The sequence below is a fragment of the Homo sapiens genome, chromosome 10 (genome assembly GCF_000001405.40).
Source record: "Homo sapiens chromosome 10, GRCh38.p14 Primary Assembly".
NCBI lineage: Eukaryota > Metazoa > Chordata > Mammalia > Primates > Hominidae > Homo > Homo sapiens.
The window spans coordinates 21,531,324-21,556,576 of record NC_000010.11 but is presented as its reverse complement, the minus strand read 5'-3'; the positions used below and the strand labels follow the sequence as shown (position 1 = coordinate 21,556,576).

Below are 25,253 nucleotides of genomic sequence, written 5' to 3'. Positions count from 1 at the left end.
TAGAAAACTGCAAAGCTTAATTTCCTAGAGAGGGTAAATGGAAGAAATCTACACTCAGAGACACCAGGAGCAGCTGAAGAAAAACAAGAATCATAAAAGTGTAATTCTAAATCCTCAAATTCCAACATCCATCTGGCTAAAGGAATATTGGTAACCAGGTTTGTCAACCCCAAACAGGTGATCATGATCAGATATATTTCTCTCTTACTAAGCTAAGAACCCCGCTAGATCACTTATGATGAAGTCTATCACTCAATAATGTCTGCTCACACAAAACTTCCAATCCACTCATTAAGAATTTGTCTTAAATTTGAGGCTGGGCACGGTGGCTCACACCTGTAATCCCAGCACTTTGGGAGGCCGAGGAGGGCGGACCACCCTGAGACCAGCCTGGCCAACATGGCGAAACCCCGTCTCTACTAAAAATACAAAAATTAGCCAGGTGTGGTGGCGCATGCCTGTAGTCCCAGCTACTCAGGAGGCGGAGGCAGGAGAATTGCCTGAACCCGGGAGGCGAAGGTTGCAGTGAGCCGAGATCGCACCATTGCACTCTGGCCTAGGCAACAGAGCGAGACTCCGTGTCCAAAAAAAAAAAGGGCCGTGCACAGTGGCTCACACCACTTGAAAAAGTGCTGTAATCCCAGCACTTTTGGAGACGGAGGCAGGTGGATCACCTGAGGTCGGGAGTTCGAGACCAGCCTGACCAACATGAAGAAACCCTGTTCCTACTAAAAATACAAAATTAGCTGGGCATCGTGGTGCATGCCTATAAACCCAGCTACTCAGGAGGCTGAGGCAGAAGAACCACTTGAACCCGGGAGGCAGAGGTTGTGGCGACCCAAGATCACACCAGCCTGGGCAACAAGAGTGAAACTCCCTCTCAAAAAAAAAAAAAAAAAAATTGTCTTACATTTGAATCAAGGCTGAGAATCACCAGATTTTTACATAAAGTCACTAACACGAAAGACAGGCCAAAACAGTACAAAAGAAGAGTTCAAGGAGCAGAAGAAAGTTTCGTAACTGAAACAAAACAAAAACCTCCAATTAAAGTATCAGCCAGGCATTGTGACTCACGCCTGTAATCCCAGCACTTTGGGAGGTGGAGGAGGGTGGATCACCTGAGGTCAGGAGTCTGAGACCAGCATGGCCAACATGGCAAAACCCAGTCTCTACTAAAAATACAAAAATTAGCCAGGCGTGGTGGCAGGCGCCTGTAATCCCAGCTACTGAGGAGGCTGAGAAGGGAGAATTGCTTGAATCCAGGAGGTGGGGACTGCAGTGAGCCAAGATCACACCACTGCACCGCAGCCTGGGTGACAGGCAAGACTCTGTCTCAAAAAAATAAAATTAAATTAAATTTAAATTAAAATAAATTGTATCCAAGAAACTTGAACAGAAGATTACAAAAATAAGGAGCAGCTGAGAGCATAAAGAGTCCTTAGAAATTAAAAAGTATGGCCGGGCACAGTGGCTCACGCCTGTAATCCCAGCACTTCGGGAGGCCAAGGCGGGTGGATCACCTGAGGTCAGGAGTTCGAGACCAGCCTGACCAACATGGTGAAACCCCGTCTCTACCTAAAATAGAAAATTAGCTGGGCATGGTGGCGTGCGCCTGTCATCCCAGGTACTCGGGAGGCTGAGGCCTGAGAATTGCTTGAACCCGGGTGGTAGGGGTTGCAGTGAGCCAAGATCGCACCAATGCACTCCAGCCTGGGAAACACGGCAAAACTCTGTCTAAAAAAAAAAAAGAAAGAAAGAAAGAAAAACAAACAAAGGAAGAAATTAGTATAACCATCTTGAAAAATTAAAGTGAAGGGGCCGGGCCCGGTGGCTCAGAGCCTGTAGTCCCAGCACTTTGGGAGGCCGAGGCGGGCAGATCACGAGGTCAGGAGATCGAGACCATCTTGGCCAACATGGTGAAACCTCATCTCTACCAAAATACAAAAAAAAAAAAAATTAGCCGGGCGTGGTGGTGCGTGTCTGTAATCCCAGCTACCTGGTAGGCTGAGGCAGGGGAATCACTTGAACCCGGAAGGCGGAGGTTGCAGTGAGCTGAGCTCACATCACTGCACTCTAGCCTGGGGTCAGAGCAAGACTCCATCTCAAAAAAAAAAAAAAAAATTTAAGTGAAGGAGGGCCAGGAGTAGTGGCACGCCCATAATCCCAACTCTATGGAAGGCTGAGAGAATCACTTTCAAGGTCAGCGTGGGCTACAATATCAAGATGCTGTCTCAAACAAACAAAAAAATTTTTAAGTGAAGAGTTGGAAGAGAAAGTGAGGAATCACCTCAGAAAATAGAGTAAAAAGAGTTAAAGAACTGAAACAGAAAATACAAAAATTATAGGATCAGATTAGAAAGTCTAACATCCAAAATTTTTTTTAAATACAGAAAAGGCAAACAAAGCAGAACTGAGGAAATTATCAAAGAAATAATTCAAAAACTTTCTCCCTGACCTAAACTCACATTCCAAAACAGGAGCTAACAAATCAAAAGGACCACTGTGTACCTAGTACAATGAGTATAAGCAAGCACACCATCGTGAGTATCAGAATAACCAGGTTAAAGAGAAAATACTAAATCCAGAAAGAACTACCACATACAAACGATTAAAAAGAAATCAGAATCGGCTGGGTGCAGCGGCTCATGCCTGTAATCCCAACATTTTGGGAGGCTGAGACGGGCAGATCACCTGTGTTCAGGAGTTCGAAACCAGCCTGGCCAACATGGTGAAACCTCATCTCTACTAAAAATACAAAAATTAGCCAGGCATGGTGGCGCATGCCTATAATCTCAGCTACTCGGGAGGCTGAGGCAAGAGAATTACTTGAACCCGGGAGGCAGAGTTTGCAGTGAGCCAAGATCACGTCACTGCACTTCAGCCTGGGCGACAGAGAGGCCCTGTCTGAAAAAAAAAAAAAGAAAAGGAAAAGGAAAAGAAATCAGAATTGCAGCTGGGTGTGGTGACTCATGTCTGTATCCCAACTCTTTAGGAGGCTGAGGCAGGTAGATCACTTGAGGCCAGGAGTTTGAGACCAGCCTGGCCAATATGGCGAAACCCCCATCTCTACTAAAAATACAAAACTGAGCTGGGCATAGTGGCACACGCCTGTAGTCTCAGCTACTCGGGAGGCTGAGGAAGGAAAATCTCTTGAACCCGGGATGCAGAGGTTGTAGTGAGCAGAGATCACACCACTGCACTCCAGCCCAGGTGACAGAGTGAGACTCCTTCTCAAAAAAAAAAAAAAAAAATTAGAACTGCTTTGGACTTGCTAACAGTAACACTGAAAGCTAAAAGGCAGTAGAGAAATATCTTCAAATTCTGACGGAAAATGATTTCCAACCAAGAATTCTATGTATTCTGTCAAACAATCAAGTAAGATAGCAATCCCATTTTATCAACCATGCAAAACCCTAATTTATTTCTCATGCGCCTTTTCCTATGAAGCTGCCAGAAGATGTGCCTTCTTAAATATAAAGAAACAGGGGAGTAGGGGGATAGAAAAACAGGGAATCCAATATAAGCAAGAAGAAAACTCCAAGATAATGGTGAAGGGATGTTCCTTAGGATGCTCCAGCAAGCCTAAGGAGCAAACAGACCAGATGGGAGCAAGCAGATGGTACCCAGAAGAAGGTCCCTGGTTTAAAAAGGAAAGGAAGGGGGAGGAAAGACAAGGGAAAGTAAAAGGGGAGAGAAGAAAGAGGGAGGAGGAAGGCGCAAGGAGGAACAGAGAAGAATAAAATCAAAGAGAGGAGAAAGAGGAGACGGAAAGAAGAGGAAGAAGAAAATAAACAGAAAAGAAGATAAAAGGAAGGAAAGGAAAAGTGAATCTATAAACGACCTAATACGATAACCATGCAGATTATTTAAGAAAGCAATGAGAGAGGCCGGGCATGGTGGCTCACGCCTGTAATCCTAGCACTTTGGGAGGCCGAGGCGGGTGGATCACCTGAGGTCAGGAGATCGAGACCAGCCTGGCCAACACGGTAAAGCCCCGTCTCTATTAAAAATACAAAAACTAGCCAGGCGTGGTGGCAGGCGCCTGTAATCCTTGCTACTCAGGAGGCTGAGGCAGGAGAATCGCTTGAACCCAGGAGGTGAAGGTTGCAGTGAGCTGAGATCACTGTCACTATACTCTGGCCTGGGTGACAAAAGCAAAACTCCATCTCAAAAAAAAAAAAAAAAAAAGCAATAAGAAGATATACAAAGATTTAGTCTTATAGTCTTAGAAGAAAAAAAACACAAGGAAAGCTGAAATACAGAACAAATATTAATCACAGAGGAAAAAAATAAAAATTAACACCAAAAAGTAATAACACTGCTGTATATTTTTGTCTTGGAAATTAGCAAAAACCAGGCAGGGTAGCTCACGCCTGTAGTCCCAGTACTTTGGGAGGCCAAGGCTGGAGGATCCCTTGAACCCAGGAGATCGAGACCAGCCTAGCAACATAGTGAGACCCCATCCGTACAAAAAATGTAGAAATTACACAGGCATGGCGGTGTGTACCTATAGTTCCAGCTACCTGAGAGGTTGAGGTGGGAGGATGACCTGAGGTCAGAAGCTCGAGACCAGCCTGGCCAACATGGTGAAACTCCGTCTCTAAAAATACAAAAATTGCCCAGGCATGGTGGTGTGTGCCTGTAATCCCACCTACTTGGGAGGCTGAGGCAGGAGAATCGCTTGAACCCGGGGAGCAGAGGTTGCAGTGGGCTGAGATCACACCACTGCACTTTAGCCTGGGCAACAGAGCGAGACTCTGCCTAAAAAAAAAAAAAGAGAGAGAGACAGAAACTATTAGACTTAATTTAAAAAAAAAAAAAAGTCTAAACACAAAAACAGAATAAACAGATACCATATGCTAGGCAATTTATCAAAGTACATCTATGTTTTCAATTCTCTTACTAGTTTTGTAGGGAGGTTAGAAAAGAATACAAACAAGTATTAAGCACCTGCTTCATTCCTGCCCTTATGCTAGCCTTTTCTCACATTAAAAGGAAAAGGAATTCAAGAAACAAGCAAGTAAAACTGGCTATGTTATCGGTCTATGATGGTAAGCACCAAATGTGTTAATTTTTGAAAACCACCTCTTTGAAAGCTATAGGAACTTACGATATTATGCTGAATTTAAAATGAAATACTAGATTATGAGTCAGCAGTAACAAAAAAAAAGTTAGTAAATGTTCAACTTTAAAGACATTCTATTTAAAGTGTACAGGCTAAAAAGCCTGTACAGAAATAAAAAAGTTATTTGTGTTATGTAAAAAAAAAAAAAAAAAAAAAAAAAAAGGTACAATCCGAGTACTTTTTGGCACTCAGCCTGGCTTCTTGCACTTAGAAATCAAAGATAAGTTGGCCGGGCACGGTGGCTCACGCCTATAATCCCAGCACTTTGGGAGGCCGAGGCAGGCGGATCATGAGGTCAGGAGCTCGAGACCAACCTGACCAACGTGGTGAAACCCCGTCTCTACTAAAAACACAAAAATCAGCCGGGCGTGGTGGCGCGTGCCTGTAATCCCAGCTACTCAGGAGGCTAAGGCAGGAGAATCACCTGAACACTTGAACCTGGGAGGCAGAGGTTGCAGTGAGCTAAGATCGTACCACTGCACTGGGTGACAGAGCAAGACTCCATTTCAAAAAAAAAAAAAAAATTAAAGATAAAAGAAATCTGAAAACAATTTTTAATTATGTGAATAAAGGTAACTCTCCAGGTGGCAGAAATAAAAAAGAACTTTAAAGCTAAATAAGGCCGGACGCCATAGCTCACGTCTGTAATCCCAGCACTTTGGTAGGCTGAGTCAGGCAAATCACTTGAAGTCAGAAGTTTGAGACCAGCCTGGGCAACATGTGAAACCCCCGTCTCTACTAAAAATACAAAAATTAGCTGGGCTTGGTGGCACCCATCCGTAGTCCCAGCTACTCATAAGGCTAAGGAAGGTGAATCGCTCCAACCCAGGAGGCGGAGGTTGAAGTGAGCTGAGATTGCATCACTGCACTCTAGCCTGGGTAACAGGGCAAGACCCTGTCTCAAAAACAAACAAAAAGCTAAAGGAATCAGTATTAAATTGAAGCTGGGGCAGTTAACGAAGCTATCAGAAACAATACCTTAGAGGGTAGGACTGACTATGACAGCAACATAGACTAAAGATATGGAGAAAAGCTCTAACTGGGTTCCCTATATAAGGACAAGAGCTGATAAGGATCCATGTCATAACAGGAAGAGACTCTAGAAAACCATGTGCTGGACTACTAAGACTAGGGAAGCTGCACAGAAATTAGATGCTTGCTCCAGATGTGAGTAGATGACTCACTCTAGAAATCCAAGGGGATACTGAGGGAAGGTATGGGGCCCAAAATCTATTATCTAAAGGATGTAGAAATCCAAGCCAAGAAACAAACTTAGAGACTGGCCTGGAGCAATGAACCCCATTAGGCAAACTGTAACAGACTCTGCAGCTACCAATCCAAGTCTATTTTCTCCTTCTTCCCTACTAACAGAACTCTCACTTTAACCAGTTTATCAATGGGCCCAACTTTATGACCACATTTTGCAGGCTCAGTAACAATTAAGAGCCAGTAAAATTAAGCCTAAGTTGTTGAGTGGAGCCTCAAGGACAATTAGTTTAAGAGTACAACTCAGAGCTAGGCGCGATGGCTCACGCCTGTAATCCCAGCACTTTGGGAGGCCAAGGCGGGCAGATCACCTGAGGTCAGGAGTTTGAGACCAGCCTGGCCGACATGGCGAAACCCCATTTCTACAAAAAATACAAAAATTAGCCAGGCATAGTGGCACACACCTGTAATCCCAGCTACTCGGGAAGCTAAGGCAGGAGAACCCGGGAAGTAGAGGATCGCGGCCACTGCATTCCAGCCTGGGCAACAGAGCAAGACACTCTCTCAAAAAAAAAAAAAAAAAAAAGAGTACAACTCAGTTAGAGGACCACACTTGAAGCTTACCCTCTCCCCTTCTTTCTGCCTGGGACTTCTTTTGTAGTCACAATGACTGCAGTTCCAGCTGCCATGCTTTGACTATGGGATAACCCTGAACATGAAAACTATGTGCTAAGGCTGATACAGAAGGAAGATAGAAAAAGCATACTCCCTAGTGACTTAAGAGAGCTGTCATCGAAGCTTCAAAATGCCTTTTGCTTTTAAGTAAAAGAATAACTGGACGGGTGCAGTGGCTCACGCCTGTAATCCTAGCACTTTGGGAGGCCAAGGCGGGCGGATGACGAGGTCAGGAGATCGAAACACAGTGAAACCCCATCTCTACTAAAAATACAAAAAATTCGCCAGGAGTGGTGGCACATGCCTATAATCCCAGCTACTGGGGAGGCTGAGGCAGGAGAACTGCTTGAATCCGGGAGGTGCAGGTTGCAGTGAGCCGAGACTGCGCCACTGCACTCCAGCCAGGGTGACAGAGCAAGACTCAAGTCTAAAAAAAAAAAAAAAAAAAGGAATAAGCTCCTGACTTGTAGAAACCATTATAATCTGGTCGGCCAAACACAATTCTTAAAAGACAGAGAGCAAAGGCAAAAACCCCACAGTGACATCTTCACAACTCATGGTAGAGGAACAGGAATCCCAGGAAAGACAACTCCACCTGAAGATTAGCCTGCAGTCAAAAATTACACAATATATAAAGACATCTATCACCAGAGTTAACAAAGAATTCCAAAATCTGAGAATCTTTACAATAAGTATGTTTTAAATGTTCAAATAAAAAAACGAATATAATTCTTCAAACAATAAAGCAAGATACCCTGAAAAAAGAGACAAATTGAAAAATAAAATCACACAAAAATTCTAGAAATTTACTCAGAAAAAAATTAATTCACTGAATTAAAAATAAGCATAAATCTGAAGACAGAGTTAAAGATATTATCAGTAATGCAAAGATAAGACAGAAAGGCCGGGCACAGTGGCTCACACCTGTGATCCCAGCATTTTGGGAGGCAAAGGTGAGTGGATCATGAAGTCAGGAGATCAAGACCATCTCGGCTCACATGGAAAAACCCCGTCTCTGCTAAAAATACACAAAATTAGCCGGGCGTAGCGGCGGGCACCTGTATTCCCAGCTACTTAGGAGGCTGAGGCAGGAGAATGGCGTGAACCCGGGAGGCGGAGCTTGCAGTGAGCCGAGATCGCAACACTGCACTCCAGCCTGGGCAACAGAGGCTCCGTCTCAAAAAAAAAAAAAAAGATAAGATAGAAAATATGAAAGACAAATTAAAAGACATGAAAAACAGAATGAAAATCCCAAACATATACCTAACAGTTCTAGGAAAAGAAAAGTTAATGAGAAGGTTACAGTATTTGAAGAGACAGAGTAGAAAATAAAAAATGGAAGGACACTGAGTCCTCAGAATGAAAAAGCAGACCAAGTCTCAAACAGGATAAACAAACTCAAAAGATTGTTTATCAACCAACAGACACCAGAAGACAAACTAGAATAAAATCTTTAGTTACAGGAAAATAGCTATTATCAAAGGATTCAAACTAGCTTCCAAGAGAGCAAAATAATGAAATTCGTAGACACAAAAAGACTAATATAACTTTCTTACTTATTACTTACTAGCCTCAGACCCTGAGAAAAAAATACCAAAACCTTCAAAGTAAAAAAAATGAACCCACAAACAAGGAAAATAAAAGGCTAGATTGAACAAAAACATGAGTAATATTAAGCCTAATTATAAATAACTATTTTTTTAAAACACACGATTATTTAGAAGATTCAAAATAAGACGCACAGTGGCTCACGCCTGTAATACCAGCACTTTGGGAGGCCAAAGCAGGAACATTACCTGAGGTCAGGAGTTCAAGAACAGCCTGGCCAACATGGTGAAACCCCATCTCTATTAAAAATACAAAAATTAGCCGGACAAGGTGGCATGTGCCTGTAGTCCCAGCTACTCAAGAGGCTGAGGCATGAGAATCGCTGAACCCATGAGAATCACTTGAACATGAAAGGCGGAGGTTGCAGTGAGCCGAGATCACACTACTGCACTCCAGCCTGGGTGACAGTGAGACTCTATCACCAAAAAAAAAAAAGAAAAAAACAGATGGAGTAATTCCAGCTACTTAGAAGGCTAAGGTGAGAGGATCACATGAGCCCAAGAGTTCCAGACCAGCCTGGGCAACACAGTGAGACCCTATCTTAAAAAAAAAAAAAAAAGAAAACAGCAGAGTAATAAAGACAACAATAACATAGATTGTGCGAGGGAAAAAGAACCAAAGGAATCAAGGCGTCCCAAGGACCTTTGTTTTGTTCAAACGGAGTACAGATATTAAGACTCAGAAAAACATTAAGTATGCATGTTAAAACTTTAAGTGCAATCACTAAAATAAAAGAAATAGAGCATATGACCTCCAAATCAGCAGAGAATTAAAAAAAATAAAAGAATGAAGGGGTCAGGCGGGGTGGCTCACACCTGTAATCCCAGCACTTTGGGAGGCCAAGGCAGGAGGATTACCTGAGGTCAGGAGTTTGAGACCAGCCTGGCCAACATGGTAAAACCCCATTTCTACTAAAAATACAAAAATTAGCCAGGATTAGGGCCGGGCATGGGAGTTCACGCCTGTAATCCCAGGACTTTGGGACGCTGAGGCACGTGGATCACCTGAGGTCGGGAGTTCGAGACCAGCCTGACCAACATGGAGAAACCCCGTCTCTACTATACAAAATCAGCCAGGTGTGGTGGCGCATGCCTGTAATCCCAGCTACTTGGGAGGCTGAGGCAGGACAATCGCTTGAACCCGGGAAGCGGAAGTTGTGGTGAGCCAAGATTGCACCATTACACTCCAGCCTGGGAAAGAGCAAAACTCTATCTCAAAAAAAAAAAAATTAGCCAGGCACAGTGGCGGGCACCTGCAAGCCCAGCTACTCGGGAGGCTGAGGGAGGAGAATCACTTGAACCCAGGAGGCAGAGGCTGCAGTGAGCTGAGACTGCGCCACTGCACTCCAGCCTGGGCGACAGAGACCCTGTCTCAAAAAAAAAAAAAACAAATTAGCCAGGAGTGGTGGGGCGTGCCTGCAGTCTCAGCTACTCGGGAGGCTGAGGCAGGAGAATCGCTTGAACCTGGGAGGCGGAGGTTGCAGTAAGCGGAGATCACACCACTGCACTCCAGCCTGGGCCACAGAGTGAGACTCCATCTCAAAAAAAAAAAAGTAGAATATTTACAATCTAAAATGTCCTCTCTGGCCAGATACGGTCACTCACACCTGTAATCTCAGCACTTTGGGAGGCCAAGGCAGGAGGGACTACTAGAGCCCAGGAGTTCAAGACCAGCCTGAGCAACATTGTGAAACCCAGTTTCTACTAAAAATACAAAAACTAGCCAAGCATCGTGGCACATGCCTGTAATCCCAGCTATTCAGGAGGCTGAAACACAAGAATCACTGGAACCCAGGAGGCAGAGGTTGCAGTGAGCCGAGATCACACCACTGCACTCCAGCCTGGGCGATGGAGCAAGACTGTCTCAAAAAAAATTAATTAAATTTAATTTTTAAAAATTCTTCTGTATCTCATCAAAATTATGTAAGTAGATAAATTTCTAATAAGTCACTGCAGCCTGCAGTAATTCAGAACAAATGCTCACTAAATAAAAAATAGGCCAGGCATGGTGGCTCACGCCTGAAATCCCAACACTTTAGGAGGACAACACGGGAGGATCTCTTAAAGCCAGGTGTTCGAGACCAGCCTGGGCAACATAACAAGACCTTATCTTTACCAAAAATTTTAAAATTAGCCGGACATAGTGGTATGCACCTATAGTCCTAGCTACTCAGGAGACTGAAGTGAGAGGATTCCTTGAGCCCCAGAGTTCGATGTTGCAGTCAACTAAAATCGCACCACTGATTCCAGCGTGGGCAAAAAGCGAGACCCTGTCTCTAAATACATACATACAAAAATAGTCATGAGAAAGTGTGTTTAATTTTTTTGTTTTGGGAGACACGGTGCTTTTTCTAAACAATCAATGTCTATCTACAAAGAACTTCCCTTAAAAACCAAACTTTCCTCAACCTCATCTCCTTTAATTTTTCTCTTTCCTTATACTTTCCACACAACAATCAAATCCTCTATCTTCCATGCCCTACAACCAGGGTTCTACCCAAACCAGGAAGCTGTATTAGCTGTCTCAAAAACTTTTCTTAGTCCTTCAGCGTTCCTGGCAGTACTGTCACTATCAACTTTTCTTTCCTGAACACCTAGTTGTCTCTGTGGCGACTGTACTTTTTAGGTTCTTTTCCTGACAGTTCACTATCAATCCTTGATAATCAGTTCTCTTACTCTCCCAAATGTGAACATTTCTCTTCTCTAGCAAAAAAAAAAAAGGCATGTGGTTCCCTGTTTTCCCTCTATGCAGCTTCAACTCTGACTTCACTCTGTAACTGTATCCTAAATTTCCAATACAAAAATCTTTTTTTTTTCTGAGATGGAGCTTCACTCTTGTTGTCCAGGCTGGAGTGCAATAGCGCGATCTCGGCTCACCACAACCTCCATCTCCCAGGTTCAAGCAATTCTCCTGCCTCAGCCTCCCTAGTAGCTGGGATTACAGGCATGTGCCACCACACCCGGCTAATTTTGTATTTTTAGTACAGACGGAGTTTCTCCATGTTGGTCAGGCTGGTCTCAAACTCCCGATCTCAGGTGATCCGCCCGCCTCGGCCTCCCGAAGTCCTGGGATTACAGGCATAAGACACAGCGCCCGGCCTCCAATACAAAAATTTTAGCAGCATCAAAACCAACATGCCCAAAACAGGTCTTTCTTTAGTCTTCACTTGCTCTCCTTCCTCTACTACAACTGCTCTAATATTTATTAATGGTATCACCATTAATGAGTGAGCACCTTGATATCTAAGAATCATCTTTGATTATTCCCTTCCCTTTACCTAACATCCATTTCTGTCATTTCATACTTCAAAATGCTCCCTTCTTTTCTACTCCTTTTGTATTCCCACATCTTTATAGTAATAGCATCCTAAGTCCATCTCTAACCTTCCCTTTCAAGTTCATTCTATATAGTACCTAAATTTTCTGAAAATGCTCCTTTACTTTTCTGAATCTTTACTGTTCGGTATCTGTCAGGGTACTGCCAGGTCATAATCCCCCTTCCCTGAGAAGTTAGCTATCCCCAGTCCAGAGAGTTCTTCCTGTGTCTGAGCAACTTGACCCTATTGTCTCACCATAGCAAAACGGTCCAGTGCTAGGTATCTCATCCAAGCCAAACCAAAGTTGGGCTTTTGTTTTATTGTCTTCTCAAAGGAACATGAGATTGGGACTGAATTTACTCGCTTTTGAGACAGGAGATGGAAAATATCAGGAGCTGAGGTATCGTCATCTTTCACCATAGGAGGCAACATGGTGGTTAAGAGGTAACACAGTGGTTAAGAGCTTAATCACATCCCAGACTGTCATAAAACATCTATCTCTCTTAAAACTATAGTATCCTTACCCATAAAGTAAGAATAATATCCACCTCATAGATGTGACAGGATGCTTAAATGAAGTAACTGGCATAAAACATTTAGCACAGTATGTGGGCACATAGTAAACACTCAAAAAGTTAGCTACTCATTTTGGAACAAGTAGCACAGTAAGTCGGCAGAAAGAAAAGAATGGAAGCAGGCATGCAGACAAAAGTAGAAAAAAGATTCATAAGACTAATTCAATTCCCTTTCTGGGTGAAATACATTTCCATGTTAGGGTTCTTGACTCCTGTGTCCTTATAATACAATGCCCTTTCTTTGCTTATCTGTTTCTTACAAAGGACCCTGCCTTTCATAATTATACACTACAGACCGGGCATAGTGGCTCACAATGGTAATCCCAGCACTTTGGGAGGCCAAGGTGGGCAGATCACCGGAGGTCAGCAGTTCGAGATCAGTCTGACCAACATGAAGAAACCCCATCTCTACTAAAAATACAAAACTTAGCTGGGCGTGGTGGCACACACCTGTAATCCCAGCTACTCCGGAGGCTGAGGCAGGAGAATCGCTTGAACCCGGGAGGCGGAGGTTGCAGTGAGCCAAGATGATGCCACTGCACTCCAAGCCTGGGCAACAAGAATTAAACTCTGTCTCCAAAAAAACATAATATATATTTTTAAATATAATTTTAAAAAGGTTTTGCTTTTGCCTCTTCTTTAAAAATCCTTGGCCAGGCAACATGGCTCACGCCTGTAAACCCAGCACTTTGGGAGGCTGAGGCGGGTGGATCACCTGAGGTCAGGAGTTCGAGACCAGCCTGGCCAAAATGGAGAAGCCCTGTCTCTACTAAAAATACAAAAATTAGCCGGGCATGGTGACGCATGTCTGTAACCCCAGCTACTGGGGAGACTGAGGCAGGAAAATCGCTTGAATCCAGGAGGTGGAGGTTGTGGTGAGCCAAGATTGTGCCATTGCACTCTAGCCTAGGCAACAAGAACGAAACTCCATCTCAAAAAAGAAAAACAAAAAACTAGCCGGGCATGGTGTCTGTAATCTCAGCTACTCCGGAGGCTGAGGCAGGAGAATCACTTGAACCCGGGAGGCGGATGCTGCAGTGAGCCGAGATCGCGCCATTGCACTCCAGCCTGGGCAACACAGCAAAATTTCGTCTCAAAAAAAAAACAAAAAAAAAACCTTAATGTCACCCACATCCCACCAAATGATGTTAAAATAAAATGCCCCCCTGCAAAAACTTCTTTTTCTTAAAGAGGGTTTCACTTTGTCACCTGGACTAGTGTGCAGTAGTGTGACTATAGCTCATTGCAACCTCAAACTCACAGGCTCAATGGATCCTCCTGCCTCGGCCTCCCACGTAGCTAGGACAAGTACACCACCACATGTGGTTAATTTTTTTTTTCTTTTTGTAGAGATAAGGTCTCACTATGTTGTCCAGGCTGATCTCCAACTTGTGGCCTGATCTCCAACTCAGGCGTGATCCTCTCACCTCGGCCTCTCAAAGCACTGGGATTATAGGCGCAAGCCACTGCTCCCAGCAGCATCTAATATATATATATTTTTTTGAGACAGAGTTTCACTCATTGCCCAAGATGGAGTGCAATGGCACGATCTCAGCTCACTGCAACCTCTGCCTCCCGGGTTCGGGCGGATCTCCTGCTTCAGTCTCCCGAGTAGCTGGGATTACAGGCGCTCACTACCACGCCCGGCTAATTTTTTGTATTTTTAGAAGAAACGGGGTTTTAAGATGTTAGCCAGGCTGGTCTCGAACTCCTGACCTCATGTGATCTGCCTACCTGAGCCTCCCAAAGTGCTGGGATTACAGGCTTGAGCCACCATGCCCAGCCCTAATACACCTTTTAAGTTAACTACCTTATTCACACTGACACTTTGACCATGTCCTCAGAGAGAATAAAAGAGTGGAAGCACGTAACAAGTGGCATTTGAGGCAAATGATGCTGGCATTCTGACACTCCCTATTCATTATCTTCTCTCTCTGAATACCCACCTTATTTTCCTATCTTTTCCAGCCTTCAATCTACTGTGACACCCCCAGGAACAGCCTCATCTCATTGTCAGTGTTTACTAATAAACCATACGTTCCACTGCGTAGTGACCTATTCACCACAAACCGTAACATGATACAAAGAAAAAAAAGTCAAAGAGTAACGCTATAAAGATTTCACCAAGTCCCAAACTTTCTATGATTGATTTTATCCTCCATTTGCTAAATCACACTAGAATAACAGCTGTAATTCTATTAAAGTGCATTCTCACACACAACCAAAACATATCATCGGAACTATAAAAAAATTGCTCTGGCCGGGCACGGATGCTCACACCTGTAATCCCACCACTTTGGGAGGCTGAGGTAGGAGGACTGCTTGAGCTCAGGAATTCCAGACGAGGCTGGTCAACAAAGCAAGACCTCATTTCTAGTAAAATTCAGGCCGGGCGTGGTAGCTCACGCCTGTAATCCCAGTACTTCGGGAGGCCAAAGCAGGCAGATCACCTGAGGTCAGGAGATCGAGACCAGCCTGGCCAACATGGTGAAACCCCATCTCTACTAAAAGTACAAAAATTAGCTGGGTGTGGTGGCGCATGTCTGTAGTCCCAGATACATGGGAGACTGAGGCAGGAGAATCGTTTGAATCCAGGAGGCAGAGGTTGCAGTGAGCGGAGATGGCGCTACTTCACTCCGGCCAGGGCGACAGAGCGAGACTGTCTCAAAAATAAAATTAAAAAATTAGCTGGGTGTTAAGTGCTACAGGCCTGTAAGTCCCAGCTACTCAGGAAGCTGCGGCAGGAGGATCTCTTGAGCTCAGGACTTCAAGGCTGCAGTGAGCAATGATTGCGCCACTCCACTCCAGCCTGGGGAACAGAGCAAGACTGTCTCAAAATAATAAAATACAAATAGTTCTGAGACTCAACACATTTTTATAGGTTACTCAACCATTATTTCTTTCTTTTTTTGTGAGACGAGTCTCGCTCTGTCGCCCAGGCTGGAGTGCAGTGGCGCAACCTCAGCTCACTGGAACCTCTGCCTCCCAGGTCCAAGCGATTCTCCTGCCTCAGTCTCCCAAGTGGCTGGCATTACAGGTGCACACCACCACACCCAGCTAATTTTTGTATTTTTAGTAGAGGTGGGGTTTCGCCATGTTGCTCAGGCTGGTCTCAAACTCCTGACCTCAGGTCATCCACCCACTTTGGCCTCCCACAGTGCAAGGATTACAAGCACGAGCCACAGCACCCAGCCCATTATTTCTACCGCTCAAAAATTGCCCAGGCAAACACAAAAGCTTCTGCTTTTGCTATATGCCTAGGTAAAGAAGCTAAAATGTTTGTTCTCTACCTTCAGTCTAATTCCATAATCAACACCAAGGGAAAGGAATTTGCTATAACAAGATGTCTTGGAATAAATAATAAATCAATAAATATAATAAGATTTTAAAAAGGAACTATCATATTTTAAATGGTAGGTTTGCATAACTAATGAAAATAAAATCTATTTCTGATATTTTCAGAAATCCAAATGGGAAAAATGCTTGTGGATACAAAGGATAAACATACCTCCCTCACTGTGTTTTTTGTGAGACAGTCTCTCACTCTGTCACCCAGGCTGGAGTCATGGTTCACTGCAGCCTCAACCTCCCAGGTTCAAGCAATCCTCCTGTCTCAGCTTCCAGAGTAGCTGGGAGTACAGGTGCAAGCCACCACGCCCAACTAATTTTTTTTTTTTTTTGAAACAGTCTCACTCTGTTTGGAGTGCAGGCTGGAGTGCAGTGGCACAATCTTGGCTCACTGCAACCTCTGGCTCCCTCATTCAAGCGATTCTCCCGTCTTAGCCCCCAGAGTAGCTAGACTATAGGCACGCGCTGCCACATCCAGTTAATTTTTTGTATTTTTAGCAGAGATAGGTTTCACCATGTCGGCCAGGCTGGTCTCAAACTCCTGACCCCAAGTGATCCGCCCACCTCAGCCTACCAAAGTGCTGGAATTATAGGCATGAGCCACTGTGCCCAGCCCCAACTAATTTTTAAAATTTTTCTTTTGTAGAGACTAAGTTGACCAGGCTGGTTTCAAACTCCTGGACTCAAGCAATCCTCCTGCCTCGGCTTCCCAAAGTGGTGGGATTACAGGTGTGAGTCACTGCACCCGGCCTACCTCCTTTTTGTTTTTTTTTTTCCTTTCCTGAGAGTCTTGCTCTGTCACCCAGGTTGGAGTGCAATGGCATGATCTCAGCTCACTGCAACCTCCGCCTCCCAGGTTCACGCCATTCTCCTGCCTCAGCCTCCCAAATAGCTGGGATTATAGGGCGTGCCACCACGCCCAGCTAATGTTTGTAATTTGTTTTTCTTTTTTTTGAGACAGAGTTTCACTCTTATTGCCCAAGCTGGAGTGCAATGGCACCATCTCAGCTCACTGCAACCTCTACCTCCCGGGTTCAAGTAATTCTCCTGCTTCAGCCTCCTAAGTAGCTGGGACTACAGGTGCTTGCCACACCCAGCTAATTTTTGTATTTGTAGTAGAGACGGGGTTTCACCATGTTGGCCAGGGTGGTCTCCATCTTTTGACCTCGAGATACTCCCGCCTCGGCCTCCCAAAGTGCTGGGATTACAGGTGTGAACCACTGCACCCGGCACCTCCTTCATTCTTATAAGAGGTTTAGAAAAGTTCTGAAATAAGGTAACCACCCAAGTTAAAAAAAAAAAAAAAAAAAAGATTTTTATGTTGGTTTGCCAAAGGGACTGAATGCCTGAAATCAGTGAGTGTTCGAAGTTAAACTATACACCCAAAGATGTAGTAAAAGGAATATGATAGTCACTAAAATTATTGGGTTTTTTTCCCATTACACAAAACCTAAGAGAATTATCAATGTAACTTCCTTATGTTTCTATTTCCATTATATTTTAACTATGATTAGCCAGTGTAACCTTCAAACTTCTTCAAGCTTTCTTGATTCTGTAACTAGTTAACAAAGCCCAAATATGACTATGTATTTTTGTTTTCAAAGTATCCAAAATATACTCACTTGATTCCATTTGTTTTTCAGTTTTACAAAATCTGTTTAATACTCCAAGTCAATATTTGGCCTAAATTATCTCTTACATTATGATATTTGAAGAAATGACTGACAACCCCACAAACCACAACAGGAGTGCAGTTCCTAATTTCCTAACCTACTCACTAAAGTTTAATGTTTTTGATAAATAGTCCTTACCACTCTGGCTGCTCTCTCCTGAGATTCACATTTCCTGCAAAACCACGGTCCAGTGGGTACTTGAACAATGCCATAGCAAGCTGTTGAAAAATGAAATGTGTTAAAATGTTAAGATTCGAAGAACTATGGAAAAATCAAATACCCTTTCAAAGCCCTATTAATCCACCTGTCACTATTCAAGTAAACTACCTCTTTACAGAGAAGTAAAACAGTTCACATCCTATTTATCACATATACAGCTTACTTAATTAACAAGTAAAAATTTTAAATGCAACTCTTTTGTGTTACCTCATCTAAATAAATCAAGGCTGGGTGCAATGGTTCATGCCTGTAATCCCAGCATTTTGGGAGGTCGAGTTGGGAGGGCTGCTGGAGCCCAGGAGTTCCAGAACAGTCTAGGCAATACAGTGAGACTCCATCTCCACAAAAAAAAAAAATTTTTTTTAATTAGGCCAGGCGCAGTGGCTCACACCTATAATCCCAGCACTTTGGGAGGCTGAGACAGGCGGATCACCTGAGGTTGGGAGTTCAAGACCAGCCTGACCAACATGAAGAAACCCTGTCCCTACTAAAAATACAAAATTAGCCAGGCGTGGTGGCACATGCCTGTAATCCTACTACTCAGGAGGCTGCGGCAGGAGAATCGCTTGAACCTGGGAGGCAGAGGTTGCAGTGAGGTAAGATCGCACCATTGCACTCCAGCCTGGGCAATAAGAGTGAAACTCCGTCTCAAATTTAAAAAAAAAAAAAAAAAAAAATTAGCTGGGCACGGTGGCATGTGCCTACAGTCCCAGCTACTCAGGAGGCTGACTTGAGCCTGGGAAGTCAAGGCTGCAGTGAGCCATAATCACACCACTGTGCTCCAGCCTGGGCAACAGAGGGAGACCCTATCTCAAAAAAAAAAAGGTATGTTTATTTCTAAATACATAATGATGTGAATGCTCCAAATGATTTAATTATACATCACATATCTAATCACAGTCTTGTTTTAAAATTGGTTTTTAAAGTTAATAATTAGCTCAAAACTGAAAATTTTCTAAAACTCTAAAAACACTAATAACCAAGTAGACTTCTGCATGAGCTTGCTAGGCAGAAATATGAAAATATCTTAAATATTGGAAAGCATTTAAAGAATATAAATTCAGGTCGGACGCGGTGGCTCATGCCTGTAATCCCAGCACTTTGGCAGGCCGAGGCAGGAGGATCACCTGAGGTCAGGAGTTCCAGACCAGCCTGGCCAAGATGGTGAAACCCCATCTCTACTAAAAATTTTTTTAAAAATTAGCTGGGCATGGTGGCAGGTGCCTGTAACCCCAGCTACTTGGGAGGCTGAGGCAGGAGAATCACTTGAACTTGGGTGGCGAAGGTTTCACTGAGCCGAGATCACGCCACTGCACTCCAGCCTGGACAAGAAGAGCAAAACTCCATCTCAAAAAAGAAAAAAAGAAATTAGCCAGGTGTGGTGGTAGTGCCTGTAGTCCCAGCTACTCAGGAGGCTGAGGCAGGAGAATCACATGAACCCGGGAGGTAGAGGCTGCAGTGAGCCGAGATTGCCCCACTGCATTCCAGCCTGGGCGACAGAGGGAGTCTCCGCCTCAAAAAAATATATAAAGAAAGAAAGAATATAAATTCACAAAACAGAGTACTACCCACTGTACAATCACAGCAGAATATAAATTCAGTATAACTTTTTAAAACTCCAAAAGCTAAACTTCCACTTCCAGTTAAACATTTGTAGGACCAGGCAAGGCAGCTCATGCCTGTAATCCCAGCACTTTATGAGGCTAAGGCGGGCAGATCCCTTGAGCTCAAAAGTTCGAGACCAGGCCAGGTGCAATGACTCACACCTGTAATCCCAGCAGTTTGGAAGGCCAAGGCAGGCAGATCACCCTGGGGTCAGGGGTTCAAGACCAGCCTGACCAACATGGAGAAACCCCATCTCTACTAAAAAAAATACAAAAATTAGCAGGGCATGGTGGTCCATGCCTGCAATCCCAGCTACTCGGGAGGCTGAGGTAGGAGAATCACTTGAACCTGGATGCAGAGGTTGCGGTGAGCCGAGATGGCACCATTGCACTCCAGCCTGAGCAACAAGAGCAAAACTCTGTCTCAAAAAAAAAAAAGTCAAGACCAACCTGGGCAACCTGGTGAAATCCCACCTCTACCAAAAATACAAAATTAGCCCGACATGGTTGTCCAGGCCTGTGGTCCCAGCTACTGGGAAGGCTGAAGTGGGAAGATGGCTTGGAAGGTCAAGGCTGCAGTGAGCTGTAATAGCACCCTGCATGCCAGCCTGAGCCACAAAGTGAGACCCTGTCTCAAAAAAACAGAATTTGTAAAATGTGTCTCACTATAAATGCTCTATCCGTCAAAAAACACAGCATAGGTGTCCAAAACACAGCATCATTGCCCAAAAACTTTATTCAGGTGTACTTCTAGGAAGGAAAATTTAAGATTTGAATAAAAATTTTCTATATTGGGACATAGAAATTATCAAATTTTGATAGTTTATCATCCAATTCATAAGAAATTCCAATTCATAAGAAATTCATTGGCCTTCAAAATGCCAATGAACATGGGATGACCTTAAAATCAGTATCTGGTTTGACACGCATTGTATTCACTCCCTAAAAAAGCAAGACATGCAACTTGGCTCTTCTTTAAAAGTCTAGGGCCAGGCGCAGTGGCTGACGCCGGTAATCCCAGCACTTTGGGAGGCCGAGGCAAGAGGATCACCTGAGGTCAGGAATTTGAGACCAGCCTGGCCAACATGGCGAAACCCCGTCTCTACTAAAAAATACAAATTAGCCGGTGTGCTAGGGTGTGCTTGTTATCCCAGCTACTCAAGAAGCTGAGGCAGGAGAATCAATCGCTTGAACCCAGGAGGCAGAGGTTGCAGTAAGCTGAGATGGCACCACTGCACTACAGCCTGGGTGACAGAGCAAGACTCCGTCTCAACAAAATAAAAAGTAAAAAAATAAAAGTCTGGGAATAAACAGCATTCTCAGAGTAAGTACACTACCTCAGAATCATCACCACTGCTTCTAAAGTCTCCCTTTCCAAGTGTGACATTCGTTTCTCTACAAAATGCACTTTAGCAGATGTTCAAATTTTCGTCTCCCTTTTGGTGGTAGTCCTTTCCAACAGACTACTAAAAACATATGCATCGCTTAATGCCAGATTCAGAAATGCGAAGGGACATGGAGCCACCAAAAAAGAATATAGACTGTTTTGTCCTGGATTCCTTACCACGTGAAATGGGGAAAAGTCGGCCACTTCAAAGGCCAGAAAAGTATCTTACTAGTGTCCTCGGCCTTCTTGTATATCCAAAAACCTCATCAATTGTTAACAACCAGAAATAAACTAAGAGGCTCCCCAAAAGTGACTTGGCACCGCCACCTCTTCAGCCACCTAGGCTGGTGGTGGCCTGCCGCGGCCACCCCACAGGCGCTGCAGCAGCCCCGCCACTCCCGCATGGTCAGCAACGGACTCCGCCATCTCCTCCGCAGACAGCTACCGGGCGGCGGCGGCAGGGCCCGAGCCTTCTGGCTCGGGGTGCAACGGGCCCCGCATCCCTCCCCATCTAAAGAGGCAAGGCGACCCCCAGCCTCCCCACACTGGCGCCGCGTTCCCGAGCCCGTCTCCACGCCACAGGAAGTCTCCAAACACTGCGGCAGACAGGCGGCTGCAGGCCAGGGGAGAAGAGGGCGCTCCACTCTCCCAAACCCACCCCCGTGGCCCCGGGAACCCCGGGAAGGGCGCGCACCGCCCCCGCCCCCGCCCCCGCCCCCACCCCGGCCCAGATCTCGAGGGCGCGGCCGCCGCCCTGCCCCGCCCCGCCCCGCCGAGTCAGCAGACCCCGGCCCCAGGCGCAGGCGGCGGCCGAATGACACTTGAGAGAGTGAGAGCGGAATCACATGACAGTCCGGGCCACACGCACTTTCTCCCACATGCGCGGCCCACACCCCCCGCGCCCCGCCGCGGACCCTCCGCGTCCCTCCCGCGGCCGCGGCACGGGGCGGGGGCGCCGGCGGTTGCGGCCCAGGTGGGGGCGGCGGTGACCGTTGGGCGCAGGCCGGCGCGCCCCGGCGGGCGGTTGGGTGTTTACCTTGATGCACCGCGACGCTGCAGCCGTGCCCGTCGCAATAAACCAGCGGGTTCTCGGCCCAGCCTCTCTCGTCTGAGCAAACGCAACAGCCTCCAATCATCTCCTTCATACTATGGGAGACCTCGTCCTCCAGTGACACGGGCCGGTCGCTAGAGACCATCTAAGAGGGAGTTGGGGGGACCATTAAAAAACACATGCAAGCCGATTAGTGCTTCCCCCCCACACAGCCCCCCGAGCCCGCCCCGGCGCCCCCCGCCCGGCCCGGCAGCCCACCGCTCGCTCACTCGGGCTTTGCCGCTCAGTCACTCACGTTCCGCACAGGAGTCAGGAGCCATGTCCTTGCTGATTCCCCCCACCTCCCCTCCACCGCCTCCTCCGCCTCCTCCTCCTCCTCAGCGTCTTCCCTCCCCACCTCCACCCGGCCGCTAACGCGGGCGCCCGGAGAGGGCACACATAATCAAGAGGGCCTCCGCACAGGCGCACTGGGGGGAGGGGGGGCTCCCGCTGGGCCAGGGGCAGCGAGGGAGGGGAAGGGGGCTGCGCTTCCTCCTCGGAGCGTCACTTGGCGTGCGCGCCCGTCCTGCGGCCGGCGTGAGGGAGGAGGCCTGGGCGAGGCTAGCCCTGCGTGCGCGCTGCCGCGGCCTGTTGGCTGCCCCCGGCCTACCTCCGGGGCCCCGTCCCCCTCCCCCGCGCCGCTCGCCGCCGCCGAGGTGTGCTGGGGGTGGGCGCGAGGGGAGCCGGCGGCGCGCGGAGGCCGGAATGAACGGGCGCGGGGGCGCGCACGCGGGGGCGGGGACGTTAGGGCCGCCCTCTGCAGCGCTGGTGGCGCGGGCCGCGTGTGAGCGTCGGGAAGAGGCCTGGGAGGTGGCGGGGGAGGTGGACGCCCAGGGCTGGGAAGGGGTTTTCTCAGAATCGCCAGAGGGGAGTCCCCGGGGGCATCATCTCCGTGCCCTGGGAACCTACCTGCTGGCCTTTTCCTCCAAGACTGGCCCGTGGAAAACGAGGGTGGGGCGAGTGTGCCAGCTTCCATGAAGGGTGTAATGAAGCATGGCTTCCTGCAGTTGGCCGCGCTAACTTCACAGTGCTGCCGCAGCCACTCCACCCATTAAATTCACGTCCTGGACTCTTCCCAAAGTTCACCCGCTGGAAGTCCTACCAAATCTGCCGCCCATTTTCGCACTACGTGGGCCCCAATGACAAACGAAAGTGTATTCCAGGCTGAAGGTCAAAAGCCTGTGTTAGGGCTGCACTCGGAGAGGGAACGCCAAGGCGCCCCTCAGCTCGGTGTGCAGGACAAATGGTGGTTTATCCGGAATTAGCAATATAATACGATGATCCGGAAAATGCAGTTGTATTACACCAAAAGGAAGAAGGAACTCTAGCCCTCCTAGTCAGTCGCTAAAACATAATTAACGCCATCAGACAGTGGCGTCCAGTTTTGATGGAGGATTCCTCTGATCCGGGTCTTTTCTCCAAATTTATACTTGGAAATGTGAGGTCATTTAAAAGTGGCAGAAAGATGAGAGCTCCCACCTCACAAACAAATGGAAAATGGATTAGGCCTATCTGCATAGATTAATTAGCTGGATGCTGAGCACTTTTAAACTAAAATCTTCCACTGTCTGCCTATTCCTTATGCATCCGTAAAGCCCAATATTGATGTTTAAGCAAAAAATGTCTAATTAGAAAAGTTTCGCATGAAATCAGAATTATGCATAGATTGTTTAAATGACAAGCCCAGTTAAAAGGCGAATTCATGACTTTTGATTAATACCTTGCAGGTACAAAATGGTTCTTTATCAGCAATTCGCATTATAAATGTGCTGATCTGGAAGATGCACTTTCACAGTGCTAAAGCATAGAGAACCCAAGTTCTCCTAGTCGGTCGCCAAAAGATAATATAATGGTTTGGGCTTTAAAAGCCTTCTAAATGTTCTTCTGATAAAGGGGGGTTAGAAAAGGTATCATGGCTGTTTTTCTATTTCAAATTAATTGCTAGAAATCTGTGTAAGAGTGATAATAGGTATACAGCACAATGAGAGCATATATAGCAAATTCAGATGTTTTAAAAGCTGAGATATACAAAGTAATGGCAATTAAAATATACACTAAAACAATGAGAATTCACATAGTGCATTTAGAAAAGGTGACTACAAGACTACATAATATGAATTCTTTTTTGGGATGTGACAACAATTAATACATTTCTGGATATATAATAATTATATTTTTTAACTACCTTAAAAATTTATGAAACTAAAACGGGCTTCAAACAAAACTATACTGTCTTGTGTATCTTAACCATATATTTTATCTTCACCCTTATACAAAGGATACCAGCTCAATATCCAAGTCCTGTTCAGACTCTTACTATAGAGCAATTCTGAGTTAAAAATCAGTGTGAAACTTCCCCTCCCAAACACTGCAGCCAAGCCTTAATGCATTAAATTATTTAAAAACACATTTGTTTTATTTTTAATGCATTGGAGCTTAGTTCTTGTGAAGGAATTAATTTGTATGTAAAGAAGGATGGGTACCTTGCCCTATTCTTTAACACTTAAAACAAATGTAAGTAAACACTTGCTATTTCCTAAACAAAACAAAAAAAATGTATCATTTGTAAGAGGTTTCAGAAATTTTTAAAAATAGGGAAAATGTATTATTTCATAACAGCCTGTATATAAACAATAGTATCTGAAACAAATTTTGTTAAAGATGTATACATAAGTGTTCACAAAATATAATTCAAATTATTTAAAACTGATTTTAACATATGTTGAGTATGAAAATTATAAGAAAAAACATGAGTGTAAATAACTCATTTTCATTTTAACTTGTACCAGATATCAAACTTTTTCTTGTATATCTGAAGTATAATATTTTGTATATTTCTATAAAATGTTAAGTGAAAAGGAAGAAAAGCAGACAGTATAAAACAGTAAAACAGTTCAAATACACAATTAATTATTCATTCAGTAAATATTTATTCAACATTTACTGTGTACTGGGGACTGTTTTGGATATGGGGAATATAGCAGTGAGAAAGTTGTATTTGTCCTTTGTGAGACATATATATATATATATATATATATATATATATATAGTCATATATGTAACAATTGGCTGAATATGCTAATTTTCCTACCTCAAAATGGATAAAACTTGTAATTACATTGGCAGAATTGTTAAAGTTCAAGTATGCTTTTTAAAATACATAGCAATATAAAAATAAATTACCATAGGAGTTATAAAATAACTTTGTGAAAAAGAACAATTTCAACTGTAAAATGTTACCCTAAATTTTTATTTTATATTCTCAAAATATCCTTCAAAAAAGTGTATGTAGTACCTCTAGAATAAAATGAAACCCTGTTGTCTCTAAACATTGCTTCACATAACAGCAGCTAACTCAGTACTAGCTCATCTGTTTCTCCAAACTAATCATCTGAGGCAAACCACAAAAAACTCAAGTAAAGTATTT

At 44.9% G+C, this 25,253-nt stretch overlaps 1 protein-coding gene across 8 annotated transcripts in view, besides 9 other annotated features; it reads right to left on the bottom strand.

Moving 5' to 3' along the window:
* MLLT10 (MLLT10 histone lysine methyltransferase DOT1L cofactor) overlaps positions 1–22,821 on the bottom strand; it is a 209,875-nt gene extending 187,054 nt beyond the window's left edge. For 3 of the 8 annotated variants that reach the window (NM_004641.4, NM_001195626.3, NM_001195630.2), the window contains exons 1-3: positions 22,057–22,345; positions 21,773–21,932; positions 17,665–17,744 (exon numbers count right to left, since the gene is read on the bottom strand). In NM_004641.4, coding sequence (NP_004632.1) covers positions 17,665–17,744; positions 21,773–21,932 — 240 coding nt within the window. In that variant the 5' untranslated portion in view covers positions 22,057–22,345. Of the gene's footprint in view, positions 1–4,655; positions 4,762–17,664; positions 17,745–21,772; positions 21,933–22,056; positions 22,346–22,735 lie in introns of those variants that run through there. The other 5 variants (NR_136736.2, NM_001195628.2, NM_001324297.2 and 2 more) reach the window with 3 other exon arrangements.
* Positions 506–1,088: an enhancer, noted in NCBI's record as "H3K27ac-H3K4me1 hESC enhancer chr10:21844418-21845000 (GRCh37/hg19 assembly coordinates)". NCBI's record gives its function as "activates a minimal SCP1, AML or CMV promoter by ChIP-STARR-seq in primed H9 embryonic stem cells {active_cell/tissue: H9 hESC(primed)}" and the evidence as "EXISTENCE:reporter gene assay evidence [ECO:0000049][PMID:30033119]".
* Positions 5,320–5,504: a silencer, noted in NCBI's record as "fragment chr10:21840002-21840186 (GRCh37/hg19 assembly coordinates)". NCBI's record gives its function as "represses an EF-1alpha promoter that drives an FKBP-Casp9 reporter gene in an ReSE screen in HepG2 liver carcinoma cells {active_cell/tissue: HepG2}" and the evidence as "EXISTENCE:reporter gene assay evidence [ECO:0000049][PMID:32094911]".
* Positions 19,858–20,371: an enhancer, noted in NCBI's record as "H3K27ac-H3K4me1 hESC enhancer chr10:21825135-21825648 (GRCh37/hg19 assembly coordinates)". NCBI's record gives its function as "activates a minimal SCP1, AML or CMV promoter by ChIP-STARR-seq in naive H9 embryonic stem cells {active_cell/tissue: H9 hESC(naive)}" and the evidence as "EXISTENCE:reporter gene assay evidence [ECO:0000049][PMID:30033119]".
* Positions 20,635–21,347: an enhancer, noted in NCBI's record as "H3K27ac hESC enhancer chr10:21824159-21824871 (GRCh37/hg19 assembly coordinates)". NCBI's record gives its function as "activates a minimal SCP1, AML or CMV promoter by ChIP-STARR-seq in naive H9 embryonic stem cells {active_cell/tissue: H9 hESC(naive)}" and the evidence as "EXISTENCE:reporter gene assay evidence [ECO:0000049][PMID:30033119]".
* Positions 21,408–21,497: a silencer, noted in NCBI's record as "silent region_2197". NCBI's record gives its function as "represses an Ori minimal core promoter by ATAC-STARR-seq in GM12878 lymphoblastoid cells {active_cell/tissue: GM12878}" and the evidence as "EXISTENCE:reporter gene assay evidence [ECO:0000049][PMID:35858748]".
* Positions 21,638–21,977: a silencer, noted in NCBI's record as "silent region_2196". NCBI's record gives its function as "represses an Ori minimal core promoter by ATAC-STARR-seq in GM12878 lymphoblastoid cells {active_cell/tissue: GM12878}" and the evidence as "EXISTENCE:reporter gene assay evidence [ECO:0000049][PMID:35858748]".
* Positions 22,063–22,776: an enhancer, noted in NCBI's record as "NANOG-H3K27ac-H3K4me1 hESC enhancer chr10:21822730-21823443 (GRCh37/hg19 assembly coordinates)". NCBI's record gives its function as "activates a minimal SCP1, AML or CMV promoter by ChIP-STARR-seq in primed H9 embryonic stem cells {active_cell/tissue: H9 hESC(primed)}" and the evidence as "EXISTENCE:reporter gene assay evidence [ECO:0000049][PMID:30033119]".
* Positions 22,088–22,157: a silencer, noted in NCBI's record as "silent region_2195". NCBI's record gives its function as "represses an Ori minimal core promoter by ATAC-STARR-seq in GM12878 lymphoblastoid cells {active_cell/tissue: GM12878}" and the evidence as "EXISTENCE:reporter gene assay evidence [ECO:0000049][PMID:35858748]".
* Positions 22,168–22,697: a silencer, noted in NCBI's record as "silent region_2194". NCBI's record gives its function as "represses an Ori minimal core promoter by ATAC-STARR-seq in GM12878 lymphoblastoid cells {active_cell/tissue: GM12878}" and the evidence as "EXISTENCE:reporter gene assay evidence [ECO:0000049][PMID:35858748]".